Raw genomic sequence first — 16,216 nt, 5'->3', positions numbered from 1 at the left:
AAGCAAAAAATTAAGAGTTGAGAAGCAAATATACCCCATGTTAATTTGACCCACAGTCAATCTTGCAAAGTAGAAGAGAAACAATTTAGCATTATCTTTAACAGTTAGGGTCATCTTTATGGTCTTATATTCTACTTACCGTTTCCAAACTTCTTAAATAAAGACGATAATTTGTGATGTAAACTCTTCCCTTAATGGGGCCATTGAAAGGACATATGTAAATAACTTCTTTGTCTATTAAGATAAAAAAAGTACCCTAAAATAATGGAAATAGATACCAAGATACACAACAAATGGCACTAATTTAATATAAACTATTCAGCTAAGAATAACTACAATTTTAAAAATTACTGAAAAGGCTGAAAGCAAGCACTGGCAATGTTTCTACATTACCGTGCTGGGTTGAGTTGGGGTAGTGGGAGAACTAGTGGGGCCACACCACCTCCAGGCACTAACAGTGCTTCCCTGAGCTTTCCCACAATGCTGTCACTACCTGGGGCAAGGTGACAATAGAAGTGAATGAGAATACTGCTGCTGCTACCCTAAGGTGGTTGTAAAGGTAACTATTTGAGCTACTTCAGCCAGAGGACGGCAACTCACCTGGGACAGTCTCACGGACTAACCACTAGACTGAGAGATGAGGCTACCAATCTCTAACCACAGAAACATAATCATGTTTTTAATAAATAAATGTCAGCAGTAGAAATCTTTCCAGTTTATTCTGTCTTTTTTTGTTTTTGAGATAGGGTCTTGCTCTATTGCCCAAGCTGGAGTTCAGTGGCACAATCATGGCTCACTGCAGCCTCAACCTCTCAGGCTCAAGCAATCCTCCCACCTCAGCCTCCTGAGTAGCTGGGACTATGGGTATGCGCCACTGCACCCAGCTCGTTTTTTAATTTTTAGTAAAGATGAAGTTTTGCTGTGTTGCCCAGGCTGGTCTCCAATTCCTGGCCTCAAGTGATCCTCCTACTTTGGCCTCTCAAAGTGCTGGGATTACAGGTGTGAGCCACCGCACCAAACCTTTTTCTTTTTAATAGTCTAGAATAGAGTTTGGCTAGGTTCATTTCAAACACTGAAGTGATATAAAACAGGTGGCCGAAAGAATAGTACATCTTTGGTAGAATAAACATAAGGAGAAGCTAAATCAGAATAATTAATTATAATAGAAATATGCCTCTCATCTTTCAGGGATGTCCTTGAATGTGTTAATGACTCGTAATGATTTTGAAATCCCTTTCTCTTCAAGTTCTAAATAAAAAATACTTAATAAAGCTACTTTATGCTAGTTCCATTAGTTACCACCTGGGTTAAGGTTCAGGCGCTGATACCTACCACCAAAACTTCATATATGAAGACGATCAAAAGTAAAATATCTTCTTTGCTCTTATCCAGAAATTGGGATGAACACATCCCACTGGTCTCCATTTCAAGACTAGAATGTGTGCAAGTTTGTGGACTCAGAAGAGAATTTCTCATGGTGTATGGCTAATTCCCAAAGGTACCTCGCTTAGGCCCGCCATCTAATTAGCACGAGGTTTTAGCCATTTAAGCTAAACAACCCAGATCTGAATTAATCAAAAGGTTCCCTGGAACAATGGTCATCACATCTGCTTCAAATACATTGAAGTCTGAAAGGAGGGTGTTAATCCACATATAAAATTTGCCCAGAACATTAGCACTTGGCTTAGAAGCTGTCAGATGCTTCTATATTCTTAAGCCGTAGTGATCTAGCCCTTCCAAAGTTGATCCCTTCCTTTTAGTATACGTTTATCATGAAAAATAACATCAAAATATTACCTAAATACTAACTTCCATTTTCTGACGAATGAAAGATATTTTAAAGCAATATGTTCTCCTATATTTCAAAGAGGAGAATGATTAAGCCTTCAAGCCTTTAAGTTTATCATTTTAAAGCATGCATCATTGACTGGAAATCATTTTGCTCTTAAAACCTTAAACCATGAGAGCTTATGGCTCCAATGAGAGACTTTCAAGAGATAATCCACATTTTTTTCCCCTAAATCATTCTCAGTCTTTGGTACAGACACAAGAATATCACTACCCTTGTGAGCATGAAGCTCTCAAAAGAACTCTTTAATCAAGAAAGGGATGCAGAGAGTTCTGTGTTAACGCTTCTAAACAAAGGTAGCCTATTTGTCTAAGCCTGACTGCTAAAGAGTAAGCGGGACTGAAGCCACCTGATCCTGCCAGACTTCTCCTCAAGTTATGCAAATCTTATGTCAGCAGGTCCTTACCAGTGATTAGTGTTTCTCCTGGAAGTCGAGGAACAGCCTCAGTGAGATCTCGATTGACTCCATCTCGAGACGTCTAGAAACAAAACAGATGCATCAGAAGTAATGACGTTACATTTACACACTGTTTTTAAGCAACTAGGAATACAAGCCACTAGAAATATGTTTTTTAAAGAAAAAGCATTAGAGATTTAGCATTTGGGAAAACTGGCACAAAAATTCAAACAAAAAAGTTACAATCTGGCACCAACATTAATTAGATGTGTCAACTTCTAGTATTAAATAATGCTAGCATGCTTTTCAATAATATTAATTTTTAAACTACATTTCCAAGCACTTTAAAGTTAACAGCTTTCGGGAAAGTGATAAAAAGTAAACATTAAGTGTGTTCTATAGATACACATACACTGTAGCAGCTTTCTTTTTTTCATATTCAGCCATCTTTTGGGAAGAGTAGGAAGGAAAACTTCAATTCCACAGAGGCTTAACTGAATAACAGCACAGCCATTAGCCAGAATCCTATTACAATGCCCGAAAATCATTGATTACCTATTGCGTTTCCTATTTCACTAAGACCCTTCCTCTCTTTTTACTTCCTCACATTTACTAAGATCCCTGTCCTAATAAGAGGTAAGAGTGGTCTGTCAGAGAACTTTTGAGCTGGCAAAAGTCTTAGGAGCCATTTGTACAAATTCTTCACATCACTTTACTATTTCTCTAGGCTTCCTGGCTTTAGAGGTATTCCCAAGCATGTGCCTCATTCAATCACTTCCACAGCTCTGCTAGGTGGGCACAGTAATATTAACCACTACAACCTGCAGGCGAGTTCGCAGAGCCTAATTTGCCATAGCTACCCATTGTCTTTCAGGTTATTCAGCTGCCCTAGTGGATTAATACGAAGATGTGTTGCAGGTGCTAGTCTGATGACATTTGAGGCACATCACTAACATCTGTTTGGGCAAAAAGTTTTTTTCAGCAGTATTTCATTTTTTTCTATTTGTTGTCCAAAATCACACTGCAATCATTTCATAAGTGAAGTTACTCATGCTTCCGTTAGAGCAGTTTTGTGAGTATTAAGTGAAAAAATATATATACAAGCACACTTTTATTTTTTGAGACAGTCTTGCTCTGTTGCCAGGCAACAGTGGTGCAATCTTGGCTTACTGCAACGTCTGCCTCCCAGCTCCCAGGTTCAAGAGATTCTCATGCCTCGGTCTCCTGAGTAGCTGGGACTACAGGTGTGTGCCACCACGCCCAGCTAATTTTTGCATTTTGAGTAGAGACGGGGTTTCACCATGTTGGCCAGGCTGGTCTTGAACTCCTGGCCTCAAGTGATCTGCCTGCCTTGACCTTCCAAAGTGCTGGGATTACAGGTGTGAGCTACTGTGCACACTTCTGTAAATTATCAGAGGCTATGCAAATGGAGAGAATTATTATGAAACAAGAGAAATGTGAATTGTATATTCAGGTGAGATATAAGCTGTCAAAGAGGGGTGTTATGCTGAATCTTTAATGTTTTTTTTTTTCATTCAGAGGCAAGAATGAAAATTCCTAGCCAATTTAAAAAATTTTCTAGTACTTGCAAGCTAAACATTTTAACCAGCTGGGCAAGACAAACTGTTCTCAGCCAGGAATGCCTTCCTCAATGAGAAGCAAAACCACACACCTTATATAAATTGTAAGAGAGGAAAGAAATTATCACCCTTTAACACTCCCTCTCACTAACTAAAAACAGGCATAACGAGCAAATGCAATACTCAGTATACCTTTTAAATACCACAGTTCTAGGTCAACCACAAAATAAGGGAAGTGAATGTCTGATTAAAACAGGATAACATGGGATTAACATAGGCTATACATTATACCAGAGCAGCATTACACAAAGGATTTATAGTTACATTCTTGAAATTACTCCTGTGTTTAGAACTGATTCTGGTAACATAAAAATACTTAAATACAATAAAAACATATAATCTTGGAGATGAGGATGGTCCTTGTAGGCACCCAAAACAGAAAATATAGATTGATATATGTGATCACATAAAAACTTTAAACTTCAGTATTTCAAAATCAAAATACCATAAATACAATTAAAAGGCCAACAATAAATCAGGAAGAAGACTTGTAACATATTATAGAGCTGATTATCAAAATATAAGGAACAAGCCAGGTGTGGTGGTCCATGCCTGTAATCCCAGCAATTTGGGAGGCTAAGGCAGGTGGATAGCTTGAGGCCAGGAGTTCAAGACCAGCATGGCCAACATGGTGAAACCCCAACTCTACTAAAAATACAAAAATTAGCCAGGTGTGATGGTGCACACCTGTAATCCCAGCTACTCGGGAGGCTGAGGCACGAGAATCACTTGAACCCAAGAGGCAGAGGTTGCAGTGAGCCAGGATTGCACCACTGCACTCCAGCCTGAGGGACAGAGTTAGACTCTGTCTCAAAAAAAAATTATACACACACATACACATATACACACACACACGGAACACATAATCAATAAGAACTCCCCTCAAAATCCCCAAAAGCCAAATAAAGGACATGAACAATCACTTCACAAGAGAAATGCAAACTAATAACAAACACACTTTTATTTACTTATTTGAGACAGGATCTCACTCTGTCGCCCAGGCTGGAGTGCAGTGGTGAGATCTCGGCTCACTGCAACCTCTGCCTCCCAGGCTCAAACAATCTCCCACCTCAGCCTCCTGAGTAGTTGGAACTATGGGCGCACGCCATCACACTCGGCTAATTTTTTGTATCTTTGGTAGAGACAGGGTTTCACTATGTTGCCTAGGCCAGTCTCGAACTCTTGAGCTCAAGTGATCCTCCCACCTTGGCCTCCTAAAGTGCTAGGATTACAAGCATGAGCCACCTCACCTGACCATAAACACACTTTTTTAAAAAAGGTTAACCTCATTAGTAATCAAGAAATACCAATGAAAAGATCACCTTTTGCTCCCTTCTGATTGCTTAGGCATCTCTATCCACCTGGTGGGAGTATAAATTAGCCTTTCTGGTGGATAATCTTAGGGCCTTAAAGGGCCATGAATAAAGCTTATTTTAAATTAATCCCTTCCTTTGAATGCACATTCCAAAATCTCCCTCTAATTACACAATCTCCCCCTGGATACCTTGAACCATTTTCTGTTAAAGTTGTATTTGTTTTGGTTATGCAACAATTTTATCATAATTAGAAAATAATGCCAATAATTAGGAAGGCGTAGCAGCCTGCTCAGCAGGCCTTAGCCTTCCAGTATGTCCTTCAGCAACCTTTCCAGGTGGAGGATTGCCTAGTACCTTAAACATGAGGTCTAGCAGTAATTTCACGAGACAGAGGTTTTCAAAAATGAAGTTATGTGAAAGGATTTACAAATGTAAAACTCACTTAACACATATAAGGTATTGTATCTAAAAGCTTTTCTGGGCCGGCGTGGTAGCTCACTCCTGTAAATCCCAGCACTTTGGGAGGCCGAGGCAAGTGGATCACCTGAGGTCAGGAGTTCAAGACAAGCCTGGCCAACATGGCGAAACCCCGTCTCTACTAAAAATACAAAAATTAGCCGGGTGTGGTAGCACACGCCTGTAATCCCAGCTACTAGGGAGGCTGAGGCAGGAGAATCACTTGAATCTGGGAGGCGGAGGTTGCAGTGAGCTGAGATCTTGCCACTGCACTCCAACCTGGGCTACGGAGCGAGACTCTGTCTCCAAAAAAAAAAAAAAGCTTTTCTAGAACAAGGTGAGACAATAAAGAAACCACATGTATAAATGTATTTATATGTGAATGAATAATAAAATTCATAATTCAATAGGCCAGCCCAAAATGACCTAATATTCAAATATCAAAATAAATGCAAGGAAAGAGACAGATAAATCTGAAAATTCAACTTACCCTCTTAATAGACTCATTCTCCAAGGAGTGTGAATTATATTTAGAAGTTGATGCAGAAGCCATCCTGGAAACTCTACCAAGAAACACAACATTCAATATCAACTGAATTTGTATGCAATTTCAAACATATGTGACATCTGAGACTTAAATATGGCAACTGAGAGCAAACGGTACTACTTTACAGGTTCTATTTCCATACTAGGCCCCAGTGGTAATAAGACATACAAACGATGAACCAGAGCACAGGCAGTATGTGAGAGCTCCAATAAAGGTGCAGGGGACTAGGGGAGAACAGACAAGGGGAGCTAAATGCACAAGGGGGAGCTCAGCAGAAGACGCCATACACATTCCAGGAATTTTAATTCGTAGTGCTCTAATTGCCATCTAAAAAAACTTAATGTTTATTAATTGTGCAACAGGCCTCAAATTTCCATACTCCTTATTTTTTAAAGATAATTTAGAGGCAGCCGAGCAGAATGAAAAAAGAATGGACAATTTAACTCACACTATTTTCTCTATTAAGAATTTTGTTTTCTCCAAATGATGGCAGTTTAGAGTGGCATGGATTTGACTGAAATCAAATTGGTAAGATTTGATTTAATCAGTATTTTCTAGGGAAAGTATATACTTCATTTAAATAATGCATATTCATCACAATTCAGGCATAAATGAAAGCATTCTATTCAGAACATACACAAATACCATTTTAACGCAAGGATTTATTTAGACTTAAGAAGATTACAGCAACAACAGAACACTAAGTAATGCTTTGGTTATTTTATCAAAGTTTAGGACACAGATAGATACATATAAAGTCAGCGGGAGGTAAACCACATCCAATTCAACAAGGTGACTGTGGATATTTATAAATATCTTTTTGCCAGGCTGTATTAAGAGCAACCAGACACACTAACAAAATCCAGCAATGGAGAACATTAACCCATTTATGCCGGAGGTTGCAAATTATTTTTGTGAAAAATCAGACCTTGGTGATGACCTTGAGCAGCAGGATGTAAATAACTCCCACAAGCTTAGCGTTCCAATAGTGGAACACTAGGCATAAATGGGTTAACACACCTTGGCACAAAATCTAGTGGGATTTAACAGCTTCACAGTACTGGCTACTGTCCTTAAGAAATAGTCAAGAAAGGTGACGAAGTCACAGAAAAAGACAGCCACCAGGATGAAGAGGTGGGGAGATGGCCAGATAGGGGCCATCTTACAAGGTTAGGACTGTCAGGATTCCCCCGTGAGAGTTCAACACTACAAGGCCAAGGCTTGTGTCTGTCTGGTTCGTGGCTGTATCCTGGCGCACACTGGAACTCACAACTATCTGGTGAATGATTATGCGGCAAATATACAATACTGTGAAATGTCATGATGGGGCAAACATGTATACTAGTTCACCAAATCCCAGAACACTGGAACTAGGCAACTACCACTGATGCTTGAAAATTAACAATTAGAGCAAAATACGTCTTTATAGAAAGAGATACTCAACTTAGAAGAGCTGAAACTACCTACAGGTAGCACAATGCAAAATTAAAAGTAACTTTTTAAAAAGATTAATGAATAACACTAAAATGAATTAAATTCAGACAAAATCGTAAAATATGCTTTGAAAAACCTTTCTAACCTTAAGTTCATGTCCAAGCAAAATAACCCATTATTCTCAGAGATAGCAGAATGGATGAGATGAACTATGGAGCAAGTCAGATGTATCTGCTCTGAAATTTTTCTATTGACAAAACAAGACTATATATTAGGGGCAGATTTTCTTCAGTAACAGATATAAAACTACCTTTTAGTATAGATACTTTAATATTTAAAATGCTTCACTAATGTAAGTCAACATTTTAAAACAAAAAGTTAAATTCTTACTATCAAGTCAGTAGAAAAAATCTAAAATCCTGGTTGTACAGTCAACTCAGTCAACGTCACCACCCTGTTTATTCATGGGCCATAAAAGAATGATGAGTCTTCCTGCTATTTCTGATTTTCATGAAAAAATTTCAATTTAAAATGAATATAAAGGACGAAATCCCTCATTTTCCCTTCATTTAACTGTTTTACTACAACTCACATACCATACAGTTCACCCTTTTCAAGTGTACAATTTAAAGGTTTTTAGTATATCCAAAGTTGTGCCACCCATCACCACAATCAATTTTAGAACACTTTTATCATCCCAAAGAGAAACCCCACCCCATACCCATTAGCAGTCACCCACCACTCCCAATCCTCCAGCAACCACGAATTTGCTATCCCTATAAATTTGCCCACTTTGGGAATTTCATATAAATGAAACCGAACAATATGCAGTCTTTATGTCTAAAGCTCTAATTTTTAGAGGAACACCAGACACTACTACTACTGTTAATAGTTGGATCAAGTATACATCCGAGAAATCCAAAGGTCCAGATAACATGTGCCAGTTCCACAATGAGGCTTACTTTAAAATCTCATCAGTGAGCCTCTCTTTGTTGAATGGTTTTGATTGATCCCTGAAGATTATAGAAGCTGGAACAGCATCATGCTGGTGTGCACAAATGTTGCAGCTGACTACATTCAAATTCCAACTCTGCAACTCACCATTTGACCTTGAGTAGGTTATTTAACTTCTCTGGGCTTTGGTTGCTATTACCCCCATTTTACATCAACATTATTAGGTGAAACAAATGAATTAATACATTCATGCAGGGCTTGGAACCACACAGTGTATCTGTTAACAAATTACTAGTATTTTTAAAATTTTTAATTTTTATGAGCACAAAAGGATAGCTAGTGAATGCCAATGTCTTAGCCAATTCTACAAATTAGTCCTGACCTTGGAAATACTAGGAGAAAAGTTAACTAATACAGGGATAGCGCATGGCTAGCAGCCACTCAGTTATAAAGTGCTTTTTGCTTAAAAAAAAAAAAAAAAAGACAATAATGACTCTAATAGGAAAATGGAAAGCAGTGTAGTACTTTGGAAAATGTACTAGACAGGTGTGTACAAGCCCTGGGCTGTCTCTAACTTACCAAGCAAAGAAAGCTCATCCATATCTTCGTGTATAAAATGACTATGTTAGTGTAAAGGCAGTTGGATGATAATTAGAAGCTATAGTGAAGTCTACAAAAATCAGCTACCCTTTTGGTTACAGAGTATTTCATCCCAAAGCCCTAACAATCAAGTTTTTTTATCCTTTTTATTTAAAAAACAAACAAAAAAATGTTGATTTTTGGCTACCTTGGCTTTAAAGCAAAAATTAAAAGTTGATTCCGTATATATATGTTAACTACAGCATTCTAACCAGAGGTAGACTTCTATCACTTTTGATCCCCCAAAATAACCTTTGAGATGATTTAAGCCCAACCCTCTCCTATTACAGAGGAGATGCGGGGGGCCTAGAGGGTGTGTGACAAGGTCCTGGAGTGACTTACTGGCAGGGACAACTCTAGCCTAGGTCTCCCTGCATTGCAGAGTCCCTTCTACCTACAGAAAAGTGCTTCTAAGTGGTCTCTGGAAGGAAACCAGGTTGCACGTGACTGGTCCCAATCTCAGTAGAACAGCTTGAGACTAAGAAACATAGTTAAGAGAACTCAACTCACCTAGCCAACCAACCTTTGGGGCCTCTAAGCCCCAAGAATTTTATGTTTTATTTATTTACAGCACCTGTAACAGTGCCTGGCACCCAAAAGATACTTAACAGGTATTTGTTAAATGAGTGAATGAACTGGGCAATTAAGGATTGGCCAAGGAACATAACAGTTGTTGGCAGTGTAATATTTCACTTAAGCCACAAGTTCATACAAACTCATGTTTGAAATGGTACGACAAGGCCTTGGCTGATCAGGATGGTCCAGGCAGGGTGGTTCTGGGCAGCAAATTTAAGTGTATATACTGTTATGTAGTTAACTGCAGGGTTAACTTGTACCCCTTTGAAACGATTTGCACTGAAAATAATTTGAGTAATGCTATCTTCCCTTATAGACTTTTCCATGAACATTTCAAATTAAGGTACAGCCGTCCCAGTACAGGGGGCTGGGATTGGTCAGTTGAATCTGTGGAGGCAGATACAAAAACCTCTTTCACCGCGCCCTTTTTCCAGACTAAGGAACTGTTTTTCCTTTTCTGTTGAATATGAAAAACAACAATACACAAACCTGAAGCACACATTAACTAAAAACATTAAAAAATGCATGCCATTTTAACGCTTATGTTAAGAATCTAAAAGCAGCAGAACTAGAAAATAATTTTGATCTCTGCCTCATAGGGCCTTTGCAAGCAAACTGTAAACACCACGGAGAGCTCTATTTCCCATCGTCACCTGAGTTGAGATCAATGGCCCTGAGTGGTTTTTCTGAACTTTTCTGTATACAAACAAAACAGTGACAAAGGTATGCAGCTTTTGTCTTTTGATGAGCCTTTAATGTGGTTTATGACTCTGTGTTGGCATTTACGTTAAGTTCAATCATGCTCTTTCTCTGGAAAGATGCTGCTTATGGAAACATACTGAGACTTAAAACTTGACTTCTAAAGTTTGTCAGAGAACAAGCAGCCTCTCCGTTCAGAATTCCAGGTCTTTCTAAGGTAGTTGTCCTTACTTAGAAGTCTGTTTTCAAAAAGATGCCAAATCTCTTTGGCAGTGGTGCTCAATACCATCAGACCCGAAACTCCCTTTTTATAAAACAAATTTCTGTAAAGTCCCCTTTGCTAGGCTGAAATGAAAACCATGGATATCCTCAATCTAAACATGATACAAAATCAATATACTGTACTAACTCCAATATAAAGGAGAAATAAAAGGACAGTGATTTATAATAAAATAATGTATTTTTCAATGAATTACACCATAACCAAAACATGCCCCCATTTCCAATTTGGCCTCTAGGGGGAGCGTCACCCCCAATGAGAACCATTCACAGAGTTCTGTACCTGGAGTGCCAGTAAACACAGGATTTACTATAAATTTATTCTGATTTTTTGCATTAAAGTAGCTTGGATTGTAGGCCACCTAGGATGCAAAAAAATGAAACATACCTTGAGACGTCCTCAACCAAATCACTGTGAACCAAGATAAATGTTCATATTCCAGCCATTTTGAGACCAGGTACACCATCAATTTAACACATATATTTGTTTATTTGGGGGGAAGAAGTGCTCAACTCACATGAAAATAAACTATGATCTGCAAAAGCAGAAGTTTGGTTCATTTTTATACATTTTCCTTTGAACAAGGGACTGACAAATTTTCCGTGTAAAGGGCCAGATACCCAGACATTTCTGTTGCAACTACTCAGTACTGCGTTGTAGCACTGAAGCAGCAATATGTAAATAAATGATGGGCTATATTCCAATAAAATTTTATTTACAAAAACAGGCTGTCACGCCCTGCATTAAGCTGTTAAAATAATTCCCATGTGAACCGTCTTCAGCCGAAGTACATAATAATCATATTCTCTTAAACTAAAAAACAAGCTATTAACCCCACCATTGAGAGCTTGTCAAAATGCCACTATGCGCCCACCTACAAAACAGTGTGATACAGTTGAAAAAAAGGAAGGGATTCTGTATTCAGACCAATTTGTGTCTCAGATCCCAATTCTCTCACTTAATTACTGCAGTTTCCAGTCTGTAAAATGGGTGTGACGCCAGCCCTCACAGTGCTGTCATGAGGAACAGGTAAAATTATAGCACAGCAGATGGCATAACAAAGATGCTCAAATACCAGTTCCCTTCCTCCTACCAGAGATGCTTTATGCTTTTTTTTTTTTTTTTGAGACAGAGTGTCACTCTGTCGCTCAGGCTGGAGTGCAGTGGTACCACCTCAGCTCACCGTAACCTCTGCCTCCTGGGTTTGAGTGATTCTCCTGCCTCAGCCTCCTGAGTAGCTGGGATTACAGATGTGCGCCACCATGCCCAGATAATTTTTGTATTTTTAGTAGCGACAGGATTTCGCCACGTTGGCCAGGCTGGTCTTGAACCCCTGACCTCAAGTGATCCGCCCACATCGGCCTCCTCCTGTGGTGCTAGGATTACAGGCATGAGCCACCACACCCAGCCCAGTGAACTCTTAAGTCATTCCCCAAACTGGTGCTAATATGTTAGGTTGGTTGTCCACAAAATATACCATATCCTTGATTGCCTAACCATTCTGCACACAGGTTTTCTAAGATGATCAATCTAACCTTGCCAAGACTCCAATCAGCCTTACAGTAGTTTACCTTCAAATATGCCTCCTTCCATTAAAAAAAGAAAACACTTGACTCCTAGCCCAGGGAATCTTTCTGTGAAATACTTAACATACAGATCTCATCTCATTACTTTCTATTCAGGCTCAGATATCTAAAAATAGGCTACAAATCTAACTATATTTACTCCAAAAAAGGATCCCCCAAGTAAGCGGTTTACTGTCCACATAGACACATGTAACAGAAGCATTAGAGCTTCTTGATTTGTCTTGGTCACTTCAAATCTTAGGGCTACAGTGTATTTGGTTTGATGATTCCTCTTTGAAAATTATATGATGCTATATAGTATTTCATTTAAAATCTCACTCTCTGTATAATTTTGATATTTACAATTCATTTTAAACATGATGATATACCTACCCCTATTTCTTTAAATGTTGCAAAGACCTTTGGCTAAAAATAATGTAATTCAGACTCAGTGGAGAATGCATTTTGAATCATTTTTTCCAGTGGCTAGTGATGGATTTGGGCTGATCTCTTCACCCTATTTCTTGGTCCCCTCACGACAAATGGCACATCTTCAAGACAGCTGATTGGCTTTAGTGGCATGAGCTGTGGCCATGGAACAGGGTAACTTTAGAAATTATTCATAAATTGAAAGTGATATGGTAAGTAAACTATTAGAAAAGTCAACTACTATCAGGTTATCTGTTTTTAATGTACAAAGGCTACCTAGCAATACTGCACACATTTAAACAGATCATTAAACTCACCAATGGATTTTTTAACAGTCAAATACCTGCCAGTAAACAAAGTTTTAAAATAGGAACAAGATCAAGTTCCCGTGCATCTGCCAATTCCAAAACTCATGAACCCAGCTGATCTGCTCAATGAAAAAAACTGCATTTTATTGAACTATTTTCCCCTGTGAGAACTATTCACAAAAAGTACATTTTAAATTTATAAGTAAACAGTAACTTATTTAGCAAAAGTTAAAACAGTAATTGTTGAAGAATAGAAACGTATAAATAGTTATAACTATGATAGTAACAAAGGTGCCAGATCAAAACATCTCCTTACTTTCCAAGAACCTTCTCAGGTCTGGGCTAAAGGACCCCAAAGAAAAGCCCAGGCATTGGGCATTACTGATGAAGATTCTTCTGAGCAGAATCAGTAGTGGAGGAGGGAGGAAAAAAGGAACTCTAGAGTGGATGTGCACAGTATCTAGAAAACTGAAGAGAGGAGAAAAGGTTGGAGATAACCTGCCATTTGAAACAATTCCTCTAGGTACTCTCATTTGAAGGCAGAAGCAGGGGCTTCGTTGGCATATGCTTTGTTGGCATTTACCTACTTCAAAACATGGAAAGCTTTTCCTGACCTCCCCCCACACACACATACACACACACACACTCTTTCTCTCTCTCTCTCTCTCTCTCTCCACTTCTCTGTACACCATACATATTTCTAATATAGTCAGCCCTCCACATCCAGGAGTTCCACATCTAGGGATTCAACCAACTGCGGATCAAAAATATTTGGGAAGAAACACAAAAAACAGTATGACAAAAAATAATACAAATACAAATAATACAAATAGAAAAATACTTCAAATACTAATTTTTATTTGTATTTACATAGCATTTCCATTGTATTAGGTATTATAAGTAATCTATAGAGGACTGAAAGTACACAGGAGGATATGCAAGGTTATATGCAAATACTATGCCATTTTATATCAAGGACTTGGGCCTCCAAGGATTTTGGTATCCTCGGGAGTCCTGGAACCAGTTTCCCGCAAATACCAAGGGACGATTGTATTTCATTTCTTACCCTGTACTTATGCCTTGATATTTTGTGTCCCGTCTCTTAGATTTCTAGAACTTCCTAAGGCCAAGGACCATGTTTTCCATTCTGGCACCAGCACAAAGCACAGTTTGGGTACTCAGTATTCCGTGAAGAAACAAATGTAGCATCACCCTCATAAACTTTCATGACTTTGGAGAAGTTAGTCATCAGTCATTAAAGGTACTCCAACCTACCTCCCTAGGGCTGATTTTTAGGTTTATAATTCCCTTGCATATCTTTAAAATTTTCCACATGTATACATCCCTAAATAATATGATTTTCCATGTTTCTGAAGTCTTATGTAAATGGAATCATTATATATTCTTCTGCCACTTGCTTTTCTCACATAGTGTTGAGAGAGTCATAAATGTTGATGCATATAGTTGTGTTCCACTCATTTTCACAGCTGCATAGCAGTCCACTGCTTTGCACTTGGTTTTTCCATTCTCCTCCCAGTGATCATTTGAGCTGTTTCCAGGTTTCAATTATAAACAGTGCTTTTATAAGCATCTTTGGAAACGTCTCCCATTCCTAGCATGCATATAAGAACCGTATTTTTGTGCCAGATTTTCATATATATATATGAAAATATATATTTGCTGCCATATATAAAAATATATTTGCTGCCAGATCAGGTATGGGAAATATATATTTAATATATATATTTAATATATTTTTAAAATATTTTTATATATTTAACATATATTTAATATATATATTTTAATTTAATATATATTTTATATTATATATATATATATCAAATATATATATATATTTAATATATATTTAATATATATTTTATATATTTGATATATATTTATATATATTTTGTATATTTAATATATATATTTAATATATATTTTATATATATTTTATATATTAAATATATATTAATTTAATATATATTAATTTATATATAATATATAATTTATATAATATATATAATTTATATATTTATAAATAATATATACAAATTATTTATATATAAATTATATATAATATATATAAATTATATATTATATATAAATTATATATAATATATATAAATTATATATTATATATAAATTATATATATTATATATAAATTATATATTATATATAAATTATGTATAATATATATAATTTATATATAATATATATAAATTATATATATTTATAATTTATATATAATATATATAATTTATATATATTTATAATTATATATAATATATATAATTTTTATATATTTATAATTATATATAATATAATATATATAATTTATATATATTATATTATATATAATATATATAATTTATATATATTTATAATTATATATAATATATATAATTTATATATATTTATAATTATATATAATATATATAATTTATATATATTTATAATTTATATATAATTTATATAAATTATATAAATTTATAATTTATATATAATTTATATAATTTTTATATATTTATAATTTATATATAATTTATATATATTTATAATTTATATAATATATATAATTTATATATATTTATAATTTATATAATATATAATTTACATAATTTATAATTTATATATAAATATATATAATTTAATATATATTTAAATATATAAATTATAAATTATATAAATTATATTTAAATATATAAATATGTATTTATATTTATATATTTAAATCAAAGTATCTGGAGAAGATGGATAATAGATGAAAACATAGGCAAATCCACCGTTTGAAATGAAATCCCAAGCTTGTCAACACTCTAATTCAAGCAGATGGGCAGTCTATTGGTGTCCTGGGGCTGCTGTAAAGAAGTCCCACAAACTGGATGGCCTAAAAGAACAGAAATAAATTCTCTCACAGTTCTGGAGGCCCAAAGTCCAAAATCAAGGTGTCAGCTAGGCCATGTGCCATCTGGAGCCTCTAGGGGAGAATGCTTCCTTGCCTCTCCCTAGCTTCTGGTGGTGGCTGCAATCCTTGGCATTCCTTGGCTTGCAGCTTCACCACTCCAATCTCTCTGCCTGTTGTCACATGGCTTTCTCCCTGTGTGTCTGTGTTTTCACATGGTG

General features: G+C 36.4%; 1 protein-coding gene across 14 annotated transcripts in view; it reads right to left on the bottom strand.

The window, feature by feature from the left end:
* MTM1 (myotubularin 1) overlaps positions 1–16,216 on the bottom strand; it is a 110,491-nt gene that overhangs the window by 74,318 nt on the left and 19,957 nt on the right. For 9 of the 14 annotated variants that reach the window (XM_011531172.2, XM_017029548.2, NM_001376908.1 and 6 more), the window contains 3 exons: positions 6,149–6,221; positions 2,256–2,328; positions 140–234 (listed from right to left, as the gene is read on the bottom strand). In XM_011531172.2, the coding sequence (XP_011529474.1) occupies positions 140–234; positions 2,256–2,328; positions 6,149–6,211 (231 nt within the window). In that variant the 5' untranslated portion in view covers positions 6,212–6,221. Of the gene's footprint in view, positions 1–139; positions 235–2,255; positions 2,329–6,148; positions 6,222–7,784; positions 8,343–16,216 lie in introns of those variants that run through there. The other 5 variants (XM_047442132.1, XM_047442133.1, XM_047442134.1 and 2 more) reach the window with 2 other exon arrangements.

This window comes from Homo sapiens, chromosome X (assembly GCF_000001405.40).
Source record: "Homo sapiens chromosome X, GRCh38.p14 Primary Assembly".
Taxonomy (NCBI): domain Eukaryota; kingdom Metazoa; phylum Chordata; class Mammalia; order Primates; family Hominidae; genus Homo; species Homo sapiens.
The sequence above is the reverse complement of the archived record's forward strand: the minus strand, read 5'-3'. Positions and strand labels throughout refer to the sequence as shown.